This window comes from Homo sapiens, chromosome 6, assembly GCF_000001405.40.
Source record: "Homo sapiens chromosome 6, GRCh38.p14 Primary Assembly".
Lineage (NCBI taxonomy): Eukaryota > Metazoa > Chordata > Mammalia > Primates > Hominidae > Homo > Homo sapiens.
In genome coordinates this window covers 158,474,160-158,497,257 of record NC_000006.12, presented here as the reverse complement: position 1 = coordinate 158,497,257, position 23,098 = coordinate 158,474,160, and the positions used below count along the sequence as shown (strand labels likewise).

The 23,098-nt window shown below is 45.6% G+C and overlaps 1 protein-coding gene across 14 annotated transcripts in view, besides 5 other annotated features; it reads right to left on the bottom strand.

Annotated features, from left to right (window-relative positions):
* The window catches only part of TULP4 (TUB like protein 4), a 279,634-nt gene that overhangs the window by 14,571 nt on the left and 241,965 nt on the right, over positions 1–23,098 (bottom strand). For all 14 annotated transcript variants that reach the window (XM_047419082.1, XM_047419087.1, XM_047419084.1 and 11 more), the window contains 5 exons: positions 17,283–17,507; positions 15,969–16,203; positions 7,526–7,670; positions 3,541–3,685; positions 2,412–2,505 (listed from right to left, as the gene is read on the bottom strand). In XM_047419082.1, coding sequence (XP_047275038.1) covers positions 2,412–2,505; positions 3,541–3,685; positions 7,526–7,670; positions 15,969–16,203; positions 17,283–17,507 — 844 coding nt within the window. The remainder of the gene's footprint in view (positions 1–2,411; positions 2,506–3,540; positions 3,686–7,525; positions 7,671–15,968; positions 16,204–17,282; positions 17,508–23,098) is intronic.
* Positions 17,406–17,907: an enhancer, noted in NCBI's record as "H3K4me1 hESC enhancer chr6:158900383-158900884 (GRCh37/hg19 assembly coordinates)". NCBI's record gives its function as "activates a minimal SCP1, AML or CMV promoter by ChIP-STARR-seq in primed H9 embryonic stem cells {active_cell/tissue: H9 hESC(primed)}" and the evidence as "EXISTENCE:reporter gene assay evidence [ECO:0000049][PMID:30033119]".
* Positions 21,329–21,408: an enhancer, noted in NCBI's record as "active region_25358". NCBI's record gives its function as "activates an Ori minimal core promoter by ATAC-STARR-seq in GM12878 lymphoblastoid cells {active_cell/tissue: GM12878}" and the evidence as "EXISTENCE:reporter gene assay evidence [ECO:0000049][PMID:35858748]".
* Positions 21,429–21,508: an enhancer, noted in NCBI's record as "active region_25357". NCBI's record gives its function as "activates an Ori minimal core promoter by ATAC-STARR-seq in GM12878 lymphoblastoid cells {active_cell/tissue: GM12878}" and the evidence as "EXISTENCE:reporter gene assay evidence [ECO:0000049][PMID:35858748]".
* Positions 21,829–21,878: an enhancer, noted in NCBI's record as "active region_25356". NCBI's record gives its function as "activates an Ori minimal core promoter by ATAC-STARR-seq in GM12878 lymphoblastoid cells {active_cell/tissue: GM12878}" and the evidence as "EXISTENCE:reporter gene assay evidence [ECO:0000049][PMID:35858748]".
* Positions 21,926–22,498: an enhancer, noted in NCBI's record as "H3K27ac-H3K4me1 hESC enhancer chr6:158895792-158896364 (GRCh37/hg19 assembly coordinates)". NCBI's record gives its function as "activates a minimal SCP1, AML or CMV promoter by ChIP-STARR-seq in primed H9 embryonic stem cells {active_cell/tissue: H9 hESC(primed)}" and the evidence as "EXISTENCE:reporter gene assay evidence [ECO:0000049][PMID:30033119]".

The following is a 23,098-nucleotide window of genomic DNA, read 5'->3' as shown; positions in this document are numbered from 1 at the left end:
TCAATAGTTAATTTCTGTTCTCTAGTATTAATAGAATCAAGTGGAAAATTCTTTTACCTTGACAAAGTAGCTCTATGGATCAAAATACTATTTTTAAAAAGATCAGGATGAGCATGGTAGCTCGCACCTGTAATTCCAGCACTTTGAGAGGCCAAGATGGGGGTATGGCTTGAAGCCAGGAGTTTAAGACCAGCCTGGACAAAATAGTGAAGTCCTATCTCAACCAAAAATTTTAAAAAATTAGCTGGGCATGGTGGCATGTGCCTTGTCTACAGTCCTAGCTAGTACAGGCTGAGGTGGGAGAATCACTCGAGCGCAGGAGCTTGAGGCTGCAGTGAGCTGTGGTGGCGCCACTGCACTCTAGCATGGGTGACAGAGCCAGGCCCTATCTCCCTGCACCCCCCAAAAAAGGCCAGCATTTGTCTCAAAGGCTCTCACATGCTCTCTCATTGTAAGATCTTTACTGGCTTATCTGTGGACCTTCTCAACATCCAAGAATGAAAAGACCCATTTAGTAAATTCTCACTTCCATTCCCTTTTTCAATATTTACCATAGGCAGATGGCTAAGTTCTCAGCTTACTGATGTGGGAATAATCATGATAGCTAAACAGTAGTTATTAAAAATCAGCCTTATCTAATCAATAGGGCACTAACGAGTAACTGAACAACAAGCATTTGTGGTCATCAGAGTGTTTCCAGGTTGCTGAAAATATTATGAGAGATTTATTTGCATTATGTACAGGGATGGTCCATTGTGATTCCCTAAGTCAGTTTCATGTTTAAATTTTATTCCTCTTTTTCTTTGAGCTCAGAAACTTCAAAATGAAAAACTCAAATGCAGCACTATTTAAAAAATCTGTGAAATGCCTCATAGCAATAGGTCTTTCTAACATCTAATCTGTAAGAATAATTTATTTTAAAGGATCTGTGTATGAACTGCTTCATACAACTCATACACAGATTCAGAATTTTTCAAAAACCAGTTTTAGTAGGTTACGCACAGCACGCTCAAAATGGAGGGCCACGGCCCCCCTGGCTGAGCTGGCCTTGCAGACAGACGTGTACGACATGCAGTGATTCTGCAACTGGGAAAGATGCGGGGAGCAACACAGCTCCTCAACTCACATAGGGACCTCCCCAACAGAAGGAAGTTGCTCTGGAATGGACCTTCTGCCATTTTCACGTCATTACTGTCTCTGGGGTAAATATAACAAGGTATTGCAACTCATTTGGGCAGGAGGGCAGATCCGAATACATGTTCATGTTCTGGCCTGGCTTTTACTCCCTTGGCTCAGTTTTCCTCTGTTTCAAACTTGCCATGGACAGGGTATTTATCTAGTACTGAGAAATGAAATTCAGAAAAATTTACCACCAAGAATTGTACCAATAGTCAGCTAATCTTTTTTTTTTTTTCTTGAGACGTAGTTTCGCTCGTGTTGCCCAGGCTGGAGTGCAGTGGCGTGATCTCGGCTCACAGCAACCTCCGCCCCCTGGGTTCAAGTGATTCTCCTGCCTCAGCCTTCCAAGTAGCTAGGATTACAGGCAGGCACCACCATGCCAGGCTAATTTTGTATTTTTAGAAGAGAAAGGTTCTCCATGTTGGTCAGGCTGGTCTCAAACTCCCAAACTCAGGTGATCTGCCAACCTTGTATTCCCAAAGTGCTGGGATTACAGGCGTGAGCCACTGCACTCAGCCTTAGCTAACTACTTATAGTCTCTAATGCTTTCTTCTCCACTTTCTTCAGGAGTTTACCAAAAATCCGCCCACAGCAAAAGGCCTAGAAGTCAAAGTTTTGAGAAATCTATACGAGCTGTGATACAAATTTTGGCTATTGCTATCATTTTAATATTTCTATTGTTTTTATGAGTCAGGGCTTATAGCAAAAAATGAAAATCCCGCTGGCGACCAGGCGTGATGGCTCATGCCTGTCATCCCAGCACTTTGGAAGGTTGAGGTGGGCAAATTGCTTGAGCTCAGGAGTTTGAGACCAGCATGGACAATGTGGTGAAACCCTGTCTCTACAAAAAATACAAAAATTAGCCGGGCATGGTGGCGCGAACCTGTAATCCCAGCTACTTTGGGGGCTGAGGCAGGAGGATCACTTGAGCCCAGGTCAAGGCTGCAGTGAGCTGTGATCGTGTCACTATACTCCAGCCTGGGTAAGACACTATCTCAAAAAAAAAGTTAAAAGATTTAAAAAAAAAAAATGCCACTGGCAAAAAGCCAATGTGAGTGAGAATTCTAATTTTTGTGAAATCACTGTGGTGAAGTTAAGGTTTAGAGGTAAAATACATGCTAATCTTTTGCTGTCTTAAAAGTTCATCTCCTAGTTTAAGCCACTAAAGGTGGAAACTGGACGTTTTAGTTTGTTCCAACTGGGACAATGAGAGAAGAGGACATGATTTTTACCTGCACCGAGGTTGGTTGGCAGGAAAGCAGCCAAGCCCACAATCTTAAATTTGGTTCCCCAGATATTAGACGTGACCTGAGCAAGATAGTTGTGCTGCGGTAGGAAGAAAAGAAAAAAGAAGAATCACAATCTATTTCCGTATTTTCAACTGGTCACTCAGTAAGAATGTTAATATTTATTACTTAAGCCACGAGTGTGCACTGCAAGAAACACCCATTCCCTACCTCATCTACCATTTGCAAGATCAGAAGCTAACGAGGGCAGCCAGGCACGCAGCAGTGAGTGGGGGCGCATCGAGCTGGGGGAAAGGTGGGGGTGTGTCCCAGTATGTATGTCCACAGGTGTGTGATTTAAAGAGGCGTAGAAAGGGATCTAACTCTGAATCCATTTTTATCTTTGATATTTCGCCTGAAAACATCGGTTGCATTGGTACCAGTATGTCCTGAAACTACCCATCATTTGTTTTCTCATTCAATTAAATTTTTAAAAATTTAAGAAATTATTTTGCCTAAGGTATGTATGCAAGGGCAAAAATAAAGATGGACAAAATACAGCCCCTTAAGGAGCTTAAACCTGATGGAGGAGATAAAGCTTGTAATGATCTGTATATAAAGAAGTCACTGAGCAATGTCATAAGGTAGCTCTACACCAGGTGTGTCAGCCTCTCCCGGCAAACCAGGGTAGGAGGCCGTCACAGCAGAGGTGGTGGTGGAGTTCCATCTGGAAGCATGGGGCAGAAACGAGGAGGAGGTGGGGTGGTGACAATCTAGGCAGGGCAAGGCATGGGACAGGTGAGAACCAGGTGTGGCTGCAGCACCCGGAGGGTGAGGGGGCACTGAGGGACCAGGAGGGAAAGGCAGGCAGGGCTGGACGGTGGGAGCTGTGATGGGAAGTGGGAGGTTCTCTCCCACCGTCACTGCAAGATCAGAACTGGCTGAGGGGCACAGGTGGAGAAGCCAGAGCTCCACCTGAGGGCTACTCCTGAGGTAGTAGGTGGTGTGCAGGATGTGGAGCAGAGCTCAGGGACCCATGGTGGCAGTGAGCAGTGCAGGCGGCGGGTAGGAAGGGGCCCTCTGGGCATAGCCCCCAGGAGGAGGGGAGCAAGGCAGGGTAACTGGGGGCTCCTACCTGAGTGATGTCTTCAAAAGGAAACTCTCTCCGAGTCAGGCTGGGCGAGCCCACAGAGGGCTTGCGCAGGGGCAACCGTGGGGACCGGGAGAGCTCCTGAGCAGCCCGGGGCAGCTTGGGTGACTTGCGGGCCTCAATGCTGATCCTGGGGAGGCAAGGCCAGGAGGGGTCAGGCATCCGTGGCGGGAATGGTGAGCATGGCCCTGACTCCAGCAGTCCTTTCTTTTTCTGGACAGCCAGCCTGGGTGTTGGGTTCTCACCCTGCAGCCAGTGCCCGAATTTAACAAAGCTCTCCCCTTGCTTTTGCTTTATGAATATGAGGAAAGAATGACAACTTTACATTGAATAATATACATTTTAAAATATATTGAGAAACTGGGTGTGGTGGCACACACCTGCAGTCCCAGCTGCTTGGGAGGCTGAGGCAGGAGGATCGCTTGAGCCCAGGAGTTCAAGGCTGCAATGAGCTACGATTACACAACTCCACTTGAGCCTGGATGACAGAGCAAGACCCCATCTCAAAATATACTTAGTATACACTGAAATGAGATCCAGCGATCCATTTGTAAGGAACTCAAAGAATTAACTGTCTTTCACTCTCTGTTGCCTTGGAGCAAGCGTGGAAATGGCCTTCTGCCAGGGGCCTGCACAATCAGTCCTGGGAAAATGGCAGGTGGAACAAGTCATTTCTTACCCTAATGCCAGTGATTCTTATAATTTCTTCTGCAACAGTGTGAATTTCAACAAATTTATCTAGCATTTCACCATCTGCAATATTTAAATCAAATTAGTAAAGTTTTTTGGCTGCCTTTTGATCCCATGTTGTATCTCTGCTTCTCAGTCCCTTTATTTGTAACATGGAGACACACATGTTTAATGACAGTCTACCCCAAAGACAGTGTGATTAAAATGAGTATGGTAAGGTTTAAAACAGTCTATGAAAAAATGCATTAAGTCTCATATATACTGGTTTTGAGCTTGATGAGAAACTCTGGGCTCCTGAGGAGTGGGAGGATGGCAGATTGAGCTCCCTAAAGCTATGATGTGGGACAATTAGCCTGGCTGCTGTGTGGAGGGTCCAAATGGGGAAAGGACAACAGGAGGAGGTCCAGCCACAGGAAGACGGCAACCTGAAGAGGACGTTTAAAGGTGAAGGATTTAGCTGCATGCATTAGATGTCCTCTCTGCTTACATAATGGGAAAAAAGCACTTTGGAAATATAGGAAAGTTCATAATGTTACATGCAATTTTAACAAGCTCTGGAACAAAGATGAAAAAAGACATCAATCAGATTGCTAGAGTAACTGGATATCTGCATATTTAAAAATGAGCATTTACCTCTAATTCATACCAAACACAAAAATTAATCCATAAGCATGAAAGCTAAAACTAGAAAGCTGCTGGAAGAGAACTGAAGAAAGGCTTCATGACCTTAGGTAACCAAAGACATCCCGAACAGGACACAGAAAGCACTAACCACAAAAGAAGAATGCCACGTGCTGGACTATATGGCCATACAGATATCTGACAAAGGATTCAAATCTAGAAGAAAGAACTCTTGGCTGGGTGCGGTGGCTCACACCTGTAAGCCCAGCACTTAGGGAGGCCAAGGCGGGCGGATCACAAGGTCAGGAGTTTGAGACCATCCTGGCCAATATGGTGAAACCCCATCTCTACTAAAAAATACAAAAATTAGCCGGGCGTGGTGGCGCTTGCCTATAGTCCCAGCTACTCAGGAGGCTGAAGCAGGAGAGTCACTTGAACCCAGGAGGTGAAGGTTGCAGTGAGCCAAGATCACGCCACTGCACTCCAGCCTGGGCGACAGAGCAAGACTCCAGCTCGAAAAAACAACAACAAAAAAGAATGAGACATTCAGATGCCCCTGTAGTGATTGCTCTAAAGGGAGGGGAGGGTACACAGGAGCTTGGGCCAGTTGCAGTGGCTCACACCTGTAATCCCAGCACCTTGGGAGGCCGAGGTAGGCGGATCATGAGGTCAGGAGATTGAGACCATCCTGGCTAACATGGTGAAACCTTATCTCTACTAAAAATACAAAAAATTAGCCGGTCATGTGGCACAAGCCTGTAGTCCCAGCTACTCGGGAGGCTGAGGCAGGAGAATCGTTTGAACCCAGGAGGTGGAGGTTGCAGTGAGCCGAGATCATGCCACTGCACGCCAGCCTGGGCAACAGAGCGAGACAAGAAAGAAAGAAAGAAAGAAAGAAAGAAAGAAAGAAAGAAAGAAAAGAAAGAAAGAAAGAAAAGAAAGAAAGAAAAGAAAGAAAGAAAGAAAGAAAGAAAGAAAGAAAGAAAGAAAGAAAGAAAGAACTCTTATAACTCAATAAAACAACCCAATAATAAATTGGGCAGAAGACTTGAACAGACACTTCACAAAAGAAGAAGACAGCCAAGTGGCCAAGAAACATGCAAACGAAGCAGCATCCATCACTGGAGATATCAGAATTAAACTGAAATGAGATGCCACTACACCTATCAGAACAAGGTAGAATTATTTCTAAAAAATGACAACAGAGCCGCTGCTGAGGATGGAAGAAACTGGGACTCTCTTGGAAATTGCTGGTAGGGATTTACGTGGGTGCGGCTACCCTGGAATACTGCTCGGCAGTTTCTAATAAACTTTAACATGTATCTGACCCATGACCATGCAACTCCTTTCCCAAGTTTATATCCAAGAGAAATGAGCGCACATGTCCACAAAAAGACTTGTATAAGAATGTTTATCATGGATTTGTTCATAATAGCCTCAAACTGGAAACTACAAATATCCATTGATTGGTAAACAGAGTAAACTAATTGTAGTATAATCATTACAATGGAATACCACGGAGCAATAAAGAAAAACAAACTACTGATACATGCAACAACATGATGACTCTCAAAATCATTACACTGAGCAAAAAAAAAAAAAGAGCCAGATACAAAGGGAACATATCGTTTGACATATCATATGAAGTTTAAGAACAAGCAAAGCTGATGATGGAAGTCAGAAGAGTGATTACTTCTAGGGAATGGGTATCAAATGGAGGGAGCACAGGCAGACTTTCTGGGATGATGACATGTCTTTTATCTTGAACTTGGGGGAAGACACTGGGATAGCCCTTGTACAATGAGCTAGGTGTTTACGATTTGGACAGATGTGTATCTGTATGTAACTTATACCTTAGTTTTTCATGGCATCAGAAAAAAAATCACAGAATTAAAACTAGAAATCTTAGTGAAGAAAAAGGTTCTACAGTGGATGCGATGTGTTGATGTTTCCCAATTACGGCATTACAGGCATTTATTTATTATTTATTTATTTATTTGAGGTGCAGTCTTGCTCTATTGCCAGGCTGAAGTGCAGTGGCACAATCTCGGCTCTGCAACCTCCACTTCCCGGATTCAAGTGATTCTCCTGCCTCAGCCTCCTGAGTAGCTGGGACTACAGGCACCCGCCACCACGCCTGGCTAATTTTTGTATTTTTAGTAGGGACGGGGTTTCACCATGTTGACCAGGATGGTCCAGATCTCTTGACTTCGTGATCCACCCGCCTCGGCCGCCCAAAGTGATGGGATTACAGGCGTGAGCCACTGTGCCCGGCTCCAGCATTACAGGCATCTTATCTGGCATTCTCTTCAACATGTTACATCCACAGGGGAACCTTTTTCTTCCTTTTCTCAAACTATAAGAAAAAACATATAAGCCCGGGAACTATGGCCACCCCTCTGCCACCCACCATCACTGCTAACCCCTAGAGAAGTTCTGAGGGTGTAGCAAACTTCTACTGGGTATCTTTGTCTATCCCGAAGGAAACAAAACAAAACAAATAGAAGTTGTAATTATTCCAGCTGGAATCTTCTGGAAGAAAAGGCAGGGAGGTTGCTCTTTGACTCTTCTGGTCAGTTTCAATGCGATTCTGTTGCAGGCACAAACACACATATTCAGAGGCACAAGAAAGGACGATCTCCCCAAAGACTGAGATTACCTTGGGAGTTTGGGTGATTTGCTAGCTCTGGAGATTTTGGGAGATTTCTTGGCAGCCCAGTCATCACTCAGCTCAATGTCACTGGAGTCTGAGCAGTTGCAGCTGTCGATCACAGTAGAAATCAAGCTGTTCCCATAGATTTCATCTGGTAAAACACCAACCAGCAGATTTCAAGGGAAGTTATATCAATTAGCCCCTACCAATGATCATTACTATAAACTAAAAGACAGACGGACTCCACAGGCCATCATTTTAGACCTAGAGGTTGAAACCAAAAAGAAGCTTGGCATTGTTTTTCTCTTTTACATTTTCTAAGCAGAAGGAGGCAATTACTTCTACTGTTGTCAAAATGGGCATGGTATTTTAATGTTTCTAGGAATGTACGAAATAGACACCATTTGCCAAAAGCTGAAAACAAAATGGCTGTGCTGTTGTCTCACAACACACAGGTGCCCACCTGGGTTCATGCGGACTTTCAGGCAGCCACAGAACCTGGGCTGAGGGTCTTGCGGGCTCACTGATTCCCCTGAGAACCTGCTTCTGACCTGAGAAGGCCCTTGCGGATGCCAAGCCTGCTTGAACTACAGTCCTGACAGAGTCAGGTCCCCTCCACTTAGGTCTGGAAAGTCAGAAAGTCCCCTGGAATTGCCACAGGTCTTGCGGCGGGGGCCTGGCTCTCCCGCCTGGTAAAGCTGCTTGCCTGCGTGGAGCAAAGGCTAGGAAACCTGTGCGGTGGGAACTCCCAGGATGGCTCTGGGTTCTTCTGGGGGTACTCCGCATGGGGCCTTCAGGCAGACGGTGAGATGATGTGCAGAGTGGGATGATGGCAAAACTGTGGGGCAAAGTTCCTCTTCGTTGGAATTCCTCTCCCTTGCTGCCCATCCCCACCTGTGCTATCACATCCCCTCACCACCCAAATCCCCCACACACCCCCCTCCACTGCCCCAGGTCTGTCCTCAATGTGAGGACCCCATTCTTCCAGATTACTTTGTTTTTCTGATGAAAATCTCATTGCCTCAAGGCTCCAAGTGCCTTGCCAGGTAATAAATAAAAGCTGTATCATTCAATCACAATGAAATAATTCATAATGTGAGTGATCTTACCATCCAAAAAGGTTGTTTATATTTTAAAGGATGAGTTTCTTAATCCAAACCAATCTAGAAGTTTCTGAGCATTTGGAGGTGGCATCTGTGAACAGGGGCCCCTCTGAGGCAGAAAAGCTTGGCAAGCTCCTTGGAAAGGAGGCTGGCCCCAGGTTGTGTCGCCCACATCACCCCCTTTTTAAAGCACTCACTGAATCAGGAGGCTCGACGCCTGGACCCAGCGAAAGCCACAGTGAAGCCACAGTGGTATTTGTGTTTAAGCAAATAAAAAGGCTTAATGCACAAGTCCTGAGCAGTGTTTTATATGACTTAATTTAGGAATCACTGGATCAAAGGAATCTCAGCTATGACTCAAGCATGCATGCAAGCCTACAGAATGTGCCTGTGTGTGTGATTCGACTTGAGGAAACCCAGTAAGACACTGCCCACTCAGCTCCTGACTCACTCATCAATGCCAGGAACCCTCAAATACCATGTCCCAGACCATTTCCTCTATCCCTTCACTCAAAACTACTATTTTCTTTTTTATAGAGATAGGGTCTCACTATGTTGCCCAGGCTTGTCTTAAACCCCCGGACTCAAGTGATCCTCCTGCCTCAGCCTCCCAAAGTGCTGGGATTAGAAGAGCTGAGCAACTGCATTTGGCCATAACTACTATTTTATTGTCTGTCTCCCCAACTACTGCAAACTCCACAAGGGAAGGAAAGTAATCTGTCCTGCCTCCTGCTTTAACCCCAGAGACTAGAACAATACCTGAGACTTGATAAATACTTTCTGAAAGAATAAATGACGATTTAAGGGGTGGCATGAGACAAAGAAAATGGCTTTCTGAAAACATGTCCTCAGCCCTGCTTGTTCAGTGTTACAATTCCACACGTGCAGGCACTGCCTGCCACTCTGACGTCTGTCATCAGCACGACTAGCAATTCAGTGCATGACATAAGCTCCACATTTGCAGAGGCTGAGGTGGTGGCTGGGTCTACTTCATACTTCTAGAGATTCTGTGTCATCAATTTATCATGGCTGTTCTGGAAAAACATCTAAGTCGTAGAAAAATGTAAGCTGGGACTGGTCTTTGAGAACCTATGGCTTAACTACAATGTCTGGGGCTTTACATCTCAATTCTGTCAGTTTTCAAGAATCTGCTAATTTCTTCTGGGTTGAAGGCTTTGTGGGTTTTTTTGGGAGATGGAGTCTCGCTCTGTCGCCTAGGCTGGAGTGCAATGCAGTGACATTATCTTGGTTCACTGCAACCTCCACCTCCTGGATTCAAGCGATTCTCCTGCCTCAGCCTCCTGAGTAGCTGGGACTACAGATGCATGCTGCCATGGCTGGCTAATTTTTTGTATTTTCTTTATTTACTTATTTTTTGAGATGGAGTCTTGCTCTGTCACCCAGGCTGGAGTGCAGTGGTGCAATCTAGGCTCACTGCAGCCTCCATCTCCTGCCTCAGCCTCCCGAGGCAGTGATTCTCCTGCCTCAGCCTCCCGAGTAGCTGGGACTATAGGCACCTGCCACCACACCCAGCTAATTTTTGCATTTTTATTAGAGATGAGGTTTGACCATGTTGGCCAGGCTGCACTTGAACTCCTGACCTCAGGTGATCTGCCTACCTTGGCCTCCCAAACTGTTGGGATTACAGGCATGAGCCACTGCACCTGGCCATTTTTTTTTGTATTTTAGTAGAGACAGGGTTTCACCGTGTTGCCCAGGCTGGTCTTGAACTACTGAGCTCAGGCAATCCTCCCGCCTTGGCCTCCCAAAGTGCTGGGATTACAGGGGTGAGCCACTGTGCCCAGCTTCCTGAATTAGATATATTTTTAAAATAAAATCTTTAAAAACGGTTTTAATGGCTTTTAAATATACACTCTAAATCTGCTCAGGCTACGATAACAAAATACCACAGACTTGGGTGGCTCCAATAATAGAAATTGTTTCCTCATACTCTGGAGGCTGAAAGTCCAAGACTAGGGCGCCAGAATGATTAGATTCTGGGGAACGCTGTCTTCCTGGCTTGCAGGTGGCCTCTACTCAGTGTATGTGCATGAAGAAAGAGCTCTTTCCTTGCCTTTTTTTTTGAGACGAGTCTTGCTCTGTCACCCAGGCTGGAGTGCAGTGGCGCGATCTCGGCTCACTGCAAGCTCCGCCTCCCAGGTTCACGCCATTCTCCTGCCTCAGCCTCCTGAGTAGCTGGGACTACATGCACCCGCCACCACGCCCGGCTAATTTTTTATATTTTTAGTAGAGATGGGGTTTCACCTTGTTAGCCAGGATGGTCTTGATCTCCTTACCTTGTGATTTGGCCTTCCAAAGCACTGGGATCACAGGCGTTAGTTAGTCCTTGTCTTCTTATAAGGCCAACTGTCCTATCAGATTAGGACCTCCCTTAAGATCTCATTTAATTTTAACTCCCCCCTGTAAGTCCTAACTCCAAATACAGTCACATTGGGAGTCAGGACTTCCCAATATGAATTTTGGGGGTGACGTGGGGGCACAATTCAGTCCACAGGACTCCTGGCCACTCTCAGATTCATGTTCTTCTCCCATGCAAAATATATTCATTCTATTCCCAAAACCCCCAAAGTCTTAACTTATTTCAATATCAACTCTAAAGTCCAGAATCTCATTTAAATTGTCACCTAAATCCAGTATGGATGGGACCTGAGGTACAATTCATCCTGAAGCAAAACTGCTCTCCAGCTGTGAACCTGTGAAACTAGAGAAGTTATGTGCTTCCAAAATACAATTGTGGGACAGGCATAGAATAGACATTCCCATTCCAAAAAGGAGACACTGGAAGTACGAAAGTGGTGACAGGTTCCAAGCAAATCCCAAATCTCGCAAAGAAAATTCCATTGAATTTTGAGGCTTGAGTGGAGTCTTCTTTGGTTTGATATCCTGTCCTCCAGGCCTACTGGGGTGTCAGCATCACCCTCCTAACTCTGGCAGGGATCCTGCCCCCATGGCTCTGCCCACAAGGCTCTGTGCAAAGGCCATCTGGCCTGCTGAAACTGAGGAGGTGGACCTAATGATCTCTGAATCACTTTCAAGGTTATTTTTCTTTCTTCTTGAAGAATAGTGCATGTTAGTGGCCAAACAGCTCCATCATCCCAGCTGGTCAAAGCTAAGAAGTCCAACAGCCTCTCTCCTTCCTTTCATCCTGTTTCCATCCACTACAGTTCAAACTGGCAGTGTCTCTGCTCATATAATTTCATAAGCGCTTTATCAAATGAGAGTCCAGCCATAACTTTGGTATTTTCTTCAAAATGTACTTAATACTTATTTTTTGCAATATGAATAGTCTAAATATTTTCTAAATCTAAATCTTCATCTTTTATCTTAACAATTCCTTCTTCCATTCATCTTTCTCCTTTTGCATTTTACTATAAGCCATCAGGAGGAACCAAACTGCTCCTTCAACACTTTGCTTACAAATCTCTTCAGTTACATATCCAGTTTAATCACTTGCAAGTTCTACCTTCCATGAAACAGTAAACACAGTTTACTCAAATCCTTTGCTGCTTTATAGGATCACCTTTCATCCAGTTTTCAGTATGTTCCTCATTTCCAACTAAGACCTCACCAGAATTGCCCTTAACATCCGTATTTCTAGCATCCACCTCAAAACTCTTCTAGCCTATATCCATTACCCAGTTCCAAAGCTTCTTCCACATGTTTAGAGATTTGTTACAGCAATACCCATTTCCTGGATCCAAAATCTGTATTAGTCAGGGTTCTCCAGAAAAACAAAACCAGTATTATGCGTGTGTGTATGCAAGAGCACGTGTGTACGCACAAGCGTGCGTGCACACACACAGGCGCACGCGCTAAATAACTGGTCCATTCGATTATGGAGGCTGAGCAGTCTCAAGGTTAGGGTGACAACGCCTGCTTCCTGGTGAAGGCTTTGCCCCCGGCTTGCAGACAGCTGTCTTTTCGCTGTGTCCTCATATGTCCTCTCCTTGGTGCACGTGCGTGGTGAGAGATCTCTTTCTCCTTCTTTTCTTTAAGGCCAGTAACTAAATCAGATCAGGATCCACCTATATGAACTCCTTTTACCTTAATCTCCCCTAAATGTCCTACCTTCACACTAGGGGTCTGGACTTCAATATATGAATTTTAGGGCAACACAAGTCAGTCTATAGCAAGCTCTGGCTAAAGATTCCTTTAGAAAATGTGTGGGCCAGGTGCAATAGCATGTCTGTAAATCCCAGCACTTTGGCGACCGAGGCAGGAGGATTTCTTGAGATCAGAAGTTTAAGACCAGCCTGGGAAACACGGTGAGACCCTGTCTCTACAAAAAAAAAAAGTGCACTATGATCATACCACTGCACTCCAGTCTGGGTGACAGAGTAAGACCCTGCCTCCTTTTAAAAAACAATGGGTGGGGGTGGTGGAGGGAAGCAGCTGGGCATGGTGGCTCACACCTATGATCCCAGCACTATGGGAGGCCAGTGCTGGAGGATCTTGAATCCAGGAGGTGAGACCAGCCTGGGCAACACATGGAGCCCCCACCTCCACAAAAATAAAAAAAAAATTAAAAAATTAGCCAGGTGTGGTGGTGCACACCTGCGATCCTAGCTACTTGGAGGCTGAAGTGGGAGGGTTGCTTGAGCCTAGGAGTTCAAGGCTGCAATGAGCCATGATTGTACTACTGCACTCCAGCCTGGGAGACACCGTGAGACCCTGTCTGAAAAAAAAAAAAACTACTGGGACTCATGGTATCTGGTATAAAAATACACACTGGTGATTTTGAGGAACATATCTGCCAAGTCACTTGACAGTGGATCACAAACTTTAGTGCATAAAAACCACCTGGGAAACCCATTAAGTCGCATGTTTGTAGGCCCCACCCCAGCCCTAATGAATCGTAATCTAAGGGTAAGCCTAGGAACGTGTATTTAAATAAGCATCCCAGGTGATTTGCATGGGGGTGGTGGTGCATGGAACACATTTTGAGAAACAATGATATGGCGGCCTCAATGAGTTAATCAGCTTTTAATGATAAGAAATTTGGGGACAGGCATGGTGGTTCCTAGCACTTTGGGAGGCCAAGGCGGAGGACTACTGGAACCCAGGAGTTTATCAGCCTGGGCAACATGGTAAAACCCTGTCTCTACAAAAAATACAAAAATTAGCAAGTGTGGTGCACACCTGTAGCCCCAGCTGCCCAGGAGGCTGAGGTGGGAGGATCGCTTGAACCTGGGAGGTCAAGGCTGTAGTGAGCTGTAATGGCACCACTGCACTGCAGCCTGGGCATCAGAGCAAGACCCTGTCCCTCCATCCCCCCAATAAAAAGAAAAAAGAAATTCCTGTTTTCTCAATGTCAGGGACTCTTTTCCACCTCTGAAATAGTTTATATATGCCATTCAGGTGCAATTAGTTATATTGTGCCTTGTGACATATCCTCTATTTTTGTCATCAGGTATTTAAATCTTGACTTTTTAATTAAACTTTTCAAGTGCTTACATTGTCTTATCACCCAAAAGGGTTTAGAAACTCCTTAAAAGCAGAGATGACCTGGTATTACTTAATAATAGCAGGAGACTCAAGTACCCCACACAAGGTAGGCACTGACTAAATATCTGTCAATGTGCTTTGTTTTATAGCTTTTAATTCTTTTAATTATAAAAATACAACATCTTATTCCCTGAAAGGATTGTGCGCAAATGAGTGGGTCTGTGTTTGATACGAGCTGATAAACATGAACCGGAAGGAAGAGCAGGCATTTGGCGTAGTCGGGTCAGATTCAAGCAAGCCCAGTCCTTGGGTACTCCACAGCACAGCCTCCGGTCCGTCTTCTTCAGTGAAGAATTTATGCACACATGAGGAAATAAGCTCTTCACCTAAGTTATCGCCAACATTTAATCTCAATACAGATTTTATAAAATTGTACCCAGGGGAGTAACCTTAGAGGTACTGACATCAGTGAGAACATCTGCTGCAAACCTGGGCTCAGGGCCTGTCCCACGGCCCCCACCCCAGTCATCTCTAACCATTGGTGGCCCTTCTCCTTTTCCCTGAAACCATGTTTCCCTCCCACGTGAACATGCGCTTCTCTCTCTCCTGCTTTTCCCACTGTGCCTTCCTTCCTCCTGAATCTGTCCTCTCCCTCCTTTCAGTCTGCCTCCCTACCAGCCCCAATTCTGCTAGTTGCTTTCTTTGTTCCTGGTACTAGCTTGTCACGAGTCAAAAGACAGAAAAAACGGACTAATATCTAATATTGACAAGTGGTATTGCTGTTTTGCAGGGGTAGTAGAGTGTCACTGCCGATGCTGAACAAATGAAGGCTGGCAGGCAGAGGTGGGGCACCTGTGTACAGCGCTGAGTACAAGTTGAGAGTGAGCAAGCCCACCACACTGTGACTTGGGGTGACTGGTCAGGCCACAGGTCATGCTAGCTCCAGGTCGTAATGAGAGGCAGGGACCAGACTAATGGGCAGGAGAGTAAACTGGAGCGAGGAAGTGGCGAGAGGAAGCATGAACTAATGAAAACAAATCCAAATCCACTGAGGGCACAAAGATGACTCAGTTCTCTCCCCCCAGGCCCACAGGATTCAGCGGGGCAGCGTCTGGAGCACAATGACTAAGCGTGCTGTTCGTTCTGCCATAGGTGATGGGCAAAGTTTCAGAGGGAGGTGGCAGACTGAGCTGGCAGTGACTGATGGGTGCACGGACACTAGCCTAGTACCAAGTGGCACAAAAAAAGAACAAAGTCCCTTCCCTCTGAAGCTTACAATCTAGGATCCCAGAGAGATGTGCAGGGAGCATCTTGAATACATTAACTGAGCAATGAAAATCACTGCAGGGAAAGGTTTTTAGAAGAAAAGGGTGACTCATACCAACATCTTTATGGATGAGCAAAACATTGTCATTAGCAATCAGGTAAAAAGCAGTTAACAGTAGACTAGGGAGGGGTAGGAGGCTGAAGGTTTGATTTCAATTTTATCATCCACTCTGGGAGGGTAGGGACTGTATCTTGTTATTATTTTCAAGTTGTCTCAATATTACATGAAGGCACTCGATGAATACTCGGTAACTGTGAAGAGGAAACCCTCACTCCCAGGAGGACTGCGCCAACTTCCCCTTGCCTGGTTCATCTATCCACCGCCCAGCTATCCACTGCCCATGGAATATGATTAAAAACCTGTCAAAAAGTACATTTAGAGAACTGTTCATTTCAATGGGATTCTGGAAATGTCGTAGCTTCAAGGATGTTCCACACTAGCCCCCACAGGCTCACGTTTCATTAGCAGACATTCTCTTTGCATGGGGTGTAAGGCGTTAACAGCCCATGACCACAGGAGAACAAGGTCCCAGTCCCTCGGGTGAGGGGCCCACCTGGTTTGCTATCTGTCCGCGGGTCCATGATGACGAACTCTGGCCGCAGCTTGCTGATGCGCCGCCCTTTGAGGATGGGCACAAGCCCGCCCAGGTACTCCAGGTAGAGCGTGTAGCACGGGCCGCCCACCTCCGGGTCGTCCTCTGTGCGCTTCATGGTGCAGTGCAGCCGCTCGTTGCCGGCTGATGGGTAGCTGACAAAGTCTCTCATGTTGTTCGGATCTGGAATTGGGGGCTGGAGGATACAGGAAGAAAATGAAGAGCTGGGACTCCAGAGAGGCAGAGAGAGAGGGAAAGAGAGTGGGCACGGGGGCAGGTCAACTAAAAACGCTACTGTTCCAGACAGAGCACAGGCTGGGGGCCTGGGGAAGAGGGTAACTATGTGGTGTAGAACAGTGGTTTGCAATGGTAGGAGCATGTGAGAATCTCCTGCAAGCTTTCGAAGCATATCTAAACCAGGATCCCACATCAGACAATGAAATCAGGATCCACAGGGGCAGCCTTGGGCACCTGTATTTTCCAATGCTATATAATACACCGGTGTTGAGATCTGCTCGTGTAGAATCAATAGTGTAAGGCAACTTAGGAAAAAAAAACAACCCAACAGATTCTAAAACTTTGATGTTTCAGGAAAAAAGTAACCAACAAATGGGTCTGCTACTCAGAAGAAGAGAGACAGAATATAAAAGAGAACCACTTGGGAAAACCCAAGGTTAGGGGGACCCACACTTGAACAGCAACTGGCAGATGCATTCTACATGCTACCTTCTAGAGTTCCCACTGGTATAAAAGGTGGCTGACGCTGAGTGCTGGCTGGAGTGGCCCTCCTCAGCAGTGCTGAGAGCAGGCCCTAGAACTGGGGTGGGTCTAATCCTGACTGTCCCCCTAACCAGCTAGGGAGCAAGTTACTTAACTTCTCCTAACTTGTTTCCTGCTTCCTTAAATGCGAATAATGGCATCTGTCAGGAAGTCAGGACTGAACAAGACAGATTTCTAAAAATTAACTGGTGCAATGCTTAGTATATAGGAAATGCTGAATAATGGTCACTCCTTTGATCATCAGAGGGACACAGAAGTCCAGGAATACCAGCTTTGCCATGAGAAAGATAACAGCCACCACACAGGGCAAATCTCTCATGGACATGGACCATGATGCTTCGACAGACTGCAGACCTGGCAGCACATGACAGGATCCTGCACAGCTGCACATGGCCCCATGTGCTCACTCTGGTACCCTCACCTGTCTCTGCCCTGGCTCTGTGGGGAGCCAGCACAGGTGAGGGAGGAGGAAGAGGGAGGGGTGGAGGGCTTTACCTTGATGGTGGGGATGAAGGCAGTGGAGAGGTAGGAGCAGAGGCGGGGGGGCAGAGTCAGCTTGCTGACGTCCTTGTCCTCACGCAAGGTGCTGGCGATGGCCTGCTGGCACAGCAGCTGCAGGCTGGACACCCGGTGCTCCACACGCACCACGTACAGGGCTGGTCCTGATGCCATCAACAGCCTCGAATCCCGGTGACCCCAGCAGATGGAGATGATGGGGCGCTGGCAGGAAGTGAAGGGAAGACAATGCTTAAGCTTTTGCTCTTGTGGGAAGCAAAAAGGGATAATGCACACTTGTCTCGAGCAAAATAAAATAAGCTGTTTTGAGAATACTGGTTTTAAAAGCACAGTAGAGAATGTTAGACACTATATTACGAAAATTCAGTATGTTTATTGAAAATTGGCTAGAGGGCTGGGCATGGTGGCATAAGGCTGTCATCTCAGCATTTTAGAAGGCCAAGGTGGGAAGATTGCATGAGGCCAGGCTGAAAGACCAGCCTGGGCAATACAGCGAGATTCTCATCTTAAAAATAAAACAAAATAAAATAAAAGTAATTAGGTCCCCAGGCCAGAGCATTAAAGCATTGGAATAATTTTATAAAGTTTGTTTACCTGTATTATATTTCATTTAATTTGGGGTCATGAAACCCAACTGAGCTCTGGGTAGTAAGGTTTCTACTAGTAGGGGCAATCACCTTGTGGTGCAGTAACTCACATTCCTTACTGAAGGGCTGTTTTTCTAGATTCCCAAATTACCCAAGGGTGGTTCCCATGGCTTGGGGAGGTGGTGATGAGGTAGACCAGATGGCCCTTCCCTTCCGTCCAGAGTCAGATCAACAATGGACTTGGTCTTACCAGCTGTGTGACCTGGGGACTATCCATAACCCCTAGAAGCCTCCCCCTTTTCTCATGAGTGGGGACCCTGTGAGGATTACAGGAGGTGATGGAGTCACAGCCCTTCTGGGGCCATCACAGTATATAACCCACAGTCACTGCATTTTCAGCCTCCCTTGGCACTGACGGTGCAGGGAAAGAAAGCTCCCTGGAAAGGCGATTGAGGAGAACACGGTTCCTGTGGTAGCCTCGCTAGGGTCATGGCCATCATTATCTTTGAGAATGCAGGCCAAAATGCAAATATGCAAGTTAGAAAATTCTTATAATAAAAAAAAATCCAAAGCTCAGGGGTGCCATCTAGCCAAGGGAGAAAGAAAGGTGAAGGGTCGTGACGGAGAAGCAGCAAGAGATTTGTTCATTCCGATCCAGACAGATGGAGCGCTGATGATCATTCATCTTCCCTTTCTACCACAGGAGGCCAGGCAGTTGCAGGGTGGGGTGATGGCCACAGTCCCCAGGGGAGGGCCGTGTTTGTTGGCCAAGGAGTCTGGAAAACTCAAGTCTAGGGGCTTCTGGGACACTTCCAGGACATGTCTCCATATGAGATGATTCCACACAGGGGGCAGGCCCCACACAAAGGGACCTATTAACTTACAGAAATACATAATCACTGCTGAAGACAGGGCAAACCAACACACAGAAAATGCACAGAAAAATTACTCTGGTATCGTCAACCCCCAAAAGTACAGGTTAGGACAGAGGCTCTATTAGTAACAAAATCATGCTTGATCTTAAAGATACGCTGCTGTCCCTTTACCTCTGAGCCCCCTAAGACAATATTCATAACTTAGAGCTCAAGTCCCCCAAAAAATGGTTTTATTTTTGTTTCTAACTTTTATGTTCAGGGGTACACAAGCAGGTTATATAGGTAAACTGTGTCACAGGGATTTGGTGTACAGGTAATTTTGTCACCTGGATAATAAGCATAGTACCCGACAGGCATTTTTTCTGATCTTCTCCCTCCTCCCTCCTCCCACTCTCCACCCTCAAGTTGTTCCCCTTCCTGTATCCATGTGTTCTTGTTATTCAGGTCCGGCTTAGAAGTGAGAATATATGGTATTTGGTTTTTTTGTTCCTACGTTAGTTTGCTAAGGATAGTGGCCTCCAACTCTATCCATGTTCCTGTAAAGGACATGATCTTGTTCTTTTTTATGGCTGCATAGTATTCCATGGTGTTTATGTATCACATTTTCTTTATCCAGTCTACTGCTGATGGGCATTTAGGTTGATTCCATATCTTTGCTATTGTGAATAGTGCTGCAATGAACATATGCATGCATGGGTCTTTATGATAGAACAAATATTCCTTTGGGTATATACCCAGTAATGGGATTGCTGGGTCGAACGTTAGTTCTCAATTCTTTGAGGAATTGCCACACTGTTTTCTACAATGGCCGAACTAATTTACACTCCCACTAGCAGTGTAGAAGCGTTTCCTTTTCTCTGCAACCATGCCGACATCTATTATTCTTTGATTTTTTAATAATGGCCATTCTGACTGGTGTGAGATAGTATCTCACTGTGGTTTTGATTTGCATTTCTCTAATGGTTCATGATGTTGAGCATTTTTCATATGCTTGTTGGCTGCATGTATGTCTTCTTTTGAAAAGTATTTGTTCATGTCCTTTGCCCACTTTTTAATGAGGTTGTTTGGAAAAACAGTTTTCAATGAGCACAACCTGACTGGCTGCAGAAACATCAGACACTTCTTCCCTCTAATTTCCCATTCCTCTTTAGTCCAGCTATCTGAAAGGCAGACACTCTGTATTTATCCTCTGTCCTCCTCCCTCCTAGTTCTGCTTTTCATAGTAACTATCTCTGTATAACAGTTGATGATATATTTTATATAAAATTATCATAAGTATGTGTCTCTTATATCTTTGTACCAAGAACTTAAACCACTCACACAGACCTTCAACTAGATGAAAATCAGCTTTGTTACCTTTATATATATAATTACCACCCATCCTGACAAAAACAACCTTGTCTGCAAAACTACATTCCAACAGCAAGCACATCAAATGCTCACATACCTGAATTCACTGCATCCGTTCTACTCTCCCACATGAATAACATTATTCTCATCTAACATATGAGGTTAGAGAGGCTAAGGCAGGCTAGGTACCTTGTTATAGTAATAAATGGTGGAAGAGCTGTGATTCTCATCCCTCCCCAGCTCCACTGCTGGTCCTTATCTTACTACATGGTGCTGACTCTCTGAAGTGCCAACATATTGATACCACAGCCTAAAGAATGCGTAATACTCCACTGAAAAATTTAACCATTTGTCCATCACATACAAAATCGTGAGCCCCAGATGGCCCCTTAGTCCATTTGGTCAAAGCTGCTTTACTCAGAAACAAACCAAACATGTCTATAGAAAAGGCAAATAGGAAGAGAAACAGGCTGTTTACACAGCATATAAATAAATGATCTGCGGGGTTCATCACAGCAGAAGAGAGCCCACAGGTAATTAGGCAGGTAGCATGGTTGGATGAACACGGAACACAGTCGCTGGCACATCTCGAAGGCGAGGGAGGATGGTGTGACTCCAAACCAGGTAGCGCATTCGCTCGGACGACTTGGAATTCTCAGCCAAGCAGGAGTGAGAAGACGCGAAAGATTAAAGGATGGAACATTAGAACCTGGGAGAAAAAGGGCTGAAATTATTTAGCCTGGAGAAGTGAGGTCTGCAGGGTCTCAAAGGAATAATTATTATCTAGGGCAACGTTACCAGGAAATCCCCTCTTCTAAGAATGGGACAAGAACACCAACACAGGAATTTACATTAAATTAATTAGGGTGCAGCACTCATTTACTTGCCCAAGTAAGTGAAAACTTACTCTGGGAGAGGGCAGGGCACGGACACATTGATTTAATTTAATTTAGTTTGTGTAGCATATAGTCCATGTAAGATGATAAAGCAGCAAAATAAACGCTGGTACCTTTGCCATAATAATTTTAAGGCTGTGCTAGAAAAACGGGGAAGGAGTGACAGATAACAAGAACTGCCCCTCTTGTCTGAAGATTCTGAGTCATCACTGACCTGGGGAAATGAATGACTGTGATGACTGTTTGGTCAGAAGTGAGGCAGCAGGGTATGACTTCTCAGGACCCCTGTAAGTCCACAGAAAGTCCCTAACAGGTCATCTTACTTTTTAAAAGTCACATTTCTGCTGGTGTTAATTTTTCCCTGGCTGTTTACTGGTATTCCAGCCTATAAAGCCCTCGCTACAAATGTTCTGTAGTTTTGGCAAGAACAAGAGTCAAATGGCGCTAACTGCATGTGGCCACAGACACGGGGCGGGGCGTTCACTAACGCTAGTCCTGATTTTGCCACCTCACAGTCATCAATTTCCATCACTCTGTCCTCTAGGTTCATGGGTGATGGCAGAACATGAACACACTGTCTGCAGGCCCACAGACCTCACCCATGCTGAAGGTACCTCCTCCCTAAGAACCTCCGCCTACTAGGCTGAGCCGCAGCAGAACAGCACAGCTCTTCAAAGCTCCCAGATTCACGTTGTGTTTGAACAGCTGCTGTCTGCTAGGGAAAAACTCAATTGTAAGTTTGCGGTCTTAATCTCTTTCTCAAATCCCATAAAACGACTATTTTTAGAACTGATGGCTAGAACTGTGAAGCAGATGACATTCAAATCTTAATTTGCATAGGGAGGTTCACATATTTTACACGTCTAAATCTGAGGCAAAAGTGCAAGAAACTGAGCTGCATTTCAGGGAGTGTGGGTCTGGTGGAACAGGGAGAACCACTGCTCAGCTGGAAAGGACAAACTCTAGGCCACAGTGCTGGAGGCGAGTGGCCCATGGAGGGGCAGGCTTCTCCTCTGGCTTCTCCCCCTCAATGCTGAGGCTGAGCCCCGGAAAGGAAAAGATGCGGGCCAGCCCTGCCTCACCTCCCACCAGGGAGTGTGGCAATCAAGGCCTGGTGCCCGTTCCTTACTCTGCCACCTCTCCTCCTGCTAGTACACAAGACATGCCATGCGTCCAGCCAATCATTTTTTTATCTACTGAGCTGTTAGTCATTAGATAAATATTTGCTAAATGTATACAAATGGACAGATCCATGCTAGTTATAAGGGGACTGACAATGAATCAAATACATTCTCTGCCCTTGTAGAGCTTACATCCTGGCGTGGCAGGGAGAGAATAAATACAGGTGAAGTATCCTTAATCTGAAAATCTGAAACCCAAAATGCTCCAAAATCTGACTTTTGGAGTGCCAACAAGATGCTCAAAGGAAATATTCATTGGAGTATTTCGAATTTTCAGATTTGGGATGCTCACCTGATACAATGCAAATATTCTGAAATTAAAAAGAAATCTGAAATCCACAACAATTCTGGTCCTAAGCATTTCAGATAAGGAGTACTCAACCTGTATCTCAGTATCTGTGACAGGAACTACCTGATAACGTGAGGTAGTGAAATTCCGTGAAGTAAAAAACAGTGTTGAGCGAGAGCCAGAGCAACAGCAAGGGGGTCTTTTTGAAGAGAGGGAGCAGGGAGGCTGCCCTGGAGGTGGTTTGAGCAGAGGCCTGGCTGAGAGGAGAAATCTATTTAATTGGAATTGAAAGCTTCCTCACTATATTACTATTTTTGTATATAGCAGTGAGTTGGATAGAGTCTTCTGAAAATGTAGGAGGAACAAAAACCAACTATACTGGTCCTGGACAGGGAAAACCAGGCAGTGCCAGCACAGGGTTTCTGGATGACTGAGGGAGGCCTTGGGCTGAGGACTGGCTACCCGGCCACCGAGGAGGCAGATTCCTGGGACAGTCGGAGGCTCTCCAGCCTCCCTCTCCACCCTTTGTTTGTTCTTTCTGTAGCTCTCCCTAAGAAGGATGGGGGATCTGTCTTGAAGAAAATGCACCTAGTAGGATGAAATGTTTTATGTCTGTA